The sequence below is a fragment of the Homo sapiens genome, chromosome 5 (assembly GCF_000001405.40).
Source record: "Homo sapiens chromosome 5, GRCh38.p14 Primary Assembly".
In the NCBI taxonomy this organism is placed as follows: domain Eukaryota; kingdom Metazoa; phylum Chordata; class Mammalia; order Primates; family Hominidae; genus Homo; species Homo sapiens.
In genome coordinates, this window is record NC_000005.10 from 105693396 (window position 1) to 105696603 (window position 3208).

The window sequence follows — 3208 nt, forward strand, 5'->3', positions numbered from 1 at the left end:
AAGTGAGTGCTGAGATGGATTTAAATAAACCTTACTCTATTACTTATATTTATATACCTTCCCACAGTTCACCATCCTTGGGAGCTTAAACCTCTTTCCTTTGTCTGGTCATGTTTCTACAAAGTCATAGCTTTTGTTAAGACAATATATTAGCCCAAGTTCTAACCATAACTTTGAGTTACTCATCACTGATTTTTTTTCCATGTGTACGCACCACATGTGTTAATAAACTCTGTTTTGTTTTGTTTTTTTTCTCTATTGTTAATCTGCATTTTGTCAGTCTATTTCACAGGACCCCAGTCAGGGAACCTACCTGGGCAAGTAGATGAAAAGGTTTTGTTTCCCCCTTTCCTACACAATCTATTTCTAAAGGCAAATGTGAAAATTGCCTTTACTGTGTTTATAGTAGAATAGAACTTGGGACTGAAGAAGATTTCTGCTATATCCTTAATAAGTCACACTGACACCCATGCTGGCAAATTTCTCTTCTGCTTCTGTCCTGATCACTTACCTTATTTCCAATCTTAGAAAAACACTCAAATTAAAGTCGTAGTAAAAATGGATCTCATGAGAAAGACTTGTGAAGAAATTGGTTGAAATAGAGGTGACCTATCTGAATGTTATATATATATATATATACACACACATACACACTCTGCTGAAAATAAGAATAGGTAAATGCTTTTGGTGGTTTTGTGTTTGCATTTGTGTTTTATTTTGTTTCACTTTGGTTTTGTACTTTTTAGACAGGAAAGCGCAGCCGCCATAAAACATGTCTCTAGAAGGAAAATACAGAGAAAAAGGATTGGTTTGGGAATATAGATTTTTAGAATTATCTACAATATGAAGTTGATCAAGTTCAGAAAATGTATTAATGCAAAGTCATACTTATGATATATGAGATACTGAATAAGAAGAGCTGGAGGCACAAAGAGAAACTGAAAATTTACTTAGTAATATGAATGTTTGGCTTCCATAATTCCAAATGATTTCAACTATTTAGCTGTTCAATTTTGTATACATCATCATATAGGTAAACAAAACAATATTTAAATAAATATATAGCAGGATGTGGCTCTACTAATGGCCTTTTCTGGACTTGTCAGATGTCTCCTGCCTTTTTGTCATCTAAGTCCTCTTTATTATTTTTATTTTATTTTATTTTATTTTATTTTTATTAATTTGTTTGAGACAGGGTCTTGCTCTGTTGCCCAGGCTGGAGTGCAGTGGTGCCATCTCAGCTCACTGCCACCTCAACTTTCCATGTTTAAGTAATCCTCCAGCCTCAACTCTCCAAGTAGCTGGGATGACAGGTGCATGCCACCCACTATGCCCACTAATTTTTGTATTTTTTTGTAGAGATTGGCTTTCATCATGTTTTCTAGGCAGGACTCTAACTCCTGAGCTCAAGTAGTCCACCTGCCTCGGCCTCCCAAAGTGCTGGAATTACAGTCATGAGCCACCACACCTAGCCCTAAGTCGGCTTTAATAAAGAGGCTTGACCTATGTAGGTGAAATTTTGGAAAACTGGGCCTTGCTTTGACATTATAAACCATTTATATTTTTGGAGCCTCTTTTTTTTTCTCATTTATAAAACGAGGGACTTACATTAGTTTCTAATACTCTAGCTTTTAAAATATAAACGAAACATGAGATATCCATAATTTAAAAAAATCTGGACACAGCCAGCAAAGTAAATATTTAATATTTGGAAACAATAATTATCTTTATAGTGGTAATTTTATGTTGTTCTACTTTTTCCAGATGAATTTATTTTTTAATTTTTTAATTACTTTGTTTGACCCTTTTGTATGTACTTTACCCTTCCAGGGGGAAAACAAGGAGAAGAAGAAGAAAAAAATGAGAAGGAAAAAATAAAGTAAAGCAGTGACGGGAAGAGGAGGGAGAGAGAAAAGAGAACATTTCTTGTCATTTTAATTTTTTAAAATAATCTTCAGTTAAAAGGATGATAACTTACTGTTATTCAGTTCTGACCTGAATATAAGCCCAGAGTTAGAAGCTTGAAAAATCCAAACAACAATGTAATTTTGATAAGGACCTTAAAAAGCCATTGAAAAAAATATGATAAATTATCCCCTTGCAATAATATAGCTTTGGTTTCTGGAGAATTGTTTCTACAGTTGATTTTCGTAATAGATGAACTCATTTGGAGCTATTTTTCTCTTCCTCTCTTTGCTGAAACTCCAGTTTAAAAGAAAAAACTTTCAGTCAAACTCATTAAAAGTAACACTTTTGTAAAAAATCAGATAGTTATCAGTGTTTATTCTTATTGCTCTCTTTCTTATGCATATTTGATTATAATCATCATAGTAATTATCAACTCAAAATGTAGTTATCTGTCTTACCCAGTATGTGATACATTTTTGAAAAGAAGAGCTATATTTTGCCCAGTGCCTGGACTAGTAAATAACTTGTTTTCAATCATTATTGAATAAATGAATAGATTACTTGCTATTTTGGTATACTTTAAACAGACAGGGAAGGTCTCCAGGGATTGAAAGAATTTAATCTCAGCAATCAACCTGTTTTACCCTGTTTTACCCTGTAGGCTGTTTTTCCCAAATCCTATGTGAAATGCAGTCACCTAGTCAGTTGAAATCAGTTCCTGACAAACCCGAGCCACCTACAGATGAACCTGAGTGAACTTTCTGTATTACCATGTTAAGGTTTTCACCCCAGGAGGAGCTATAGCTTCATTACCGTAACATGTGACCTGTGTGCTGGCACAATGACTCACTGCATCTATACAACTGGGACCCCTCCACTACATGCTGTGATGAATGCTTTTCCCTCTCCATTGTCCATTAAACCCTCCTGTCACTTTTGCTTGGAGAGACACTGCTTTGGAGAATACTCCCAGTGCTCTCCTTACTTGTGCCAAGCAATAAGAGTCCTTTTGTTCAAAACCTGCAATTCTTGTGGAGTGTTATTGTTACTCAGCAGGCCAACAAACACCAGTTTTTCAGGTAATCATATCAATAAAATATGCTAGAATTCAGTTTAAATTATTAGGAAAGTAAGATTACAAAAGGTATAGGTTTGGTAATTTGCCGTTGGCAATAAAGACATATTTGAGGTGTTACACATTTTGATAGTGGTATTTTTAAAAATATTTATTTATTTACTTATTTTTAGAGAGGAGGTCTTGCTCTGTCACCCAGACTAGAGTTCAATGAAGCAATCACTG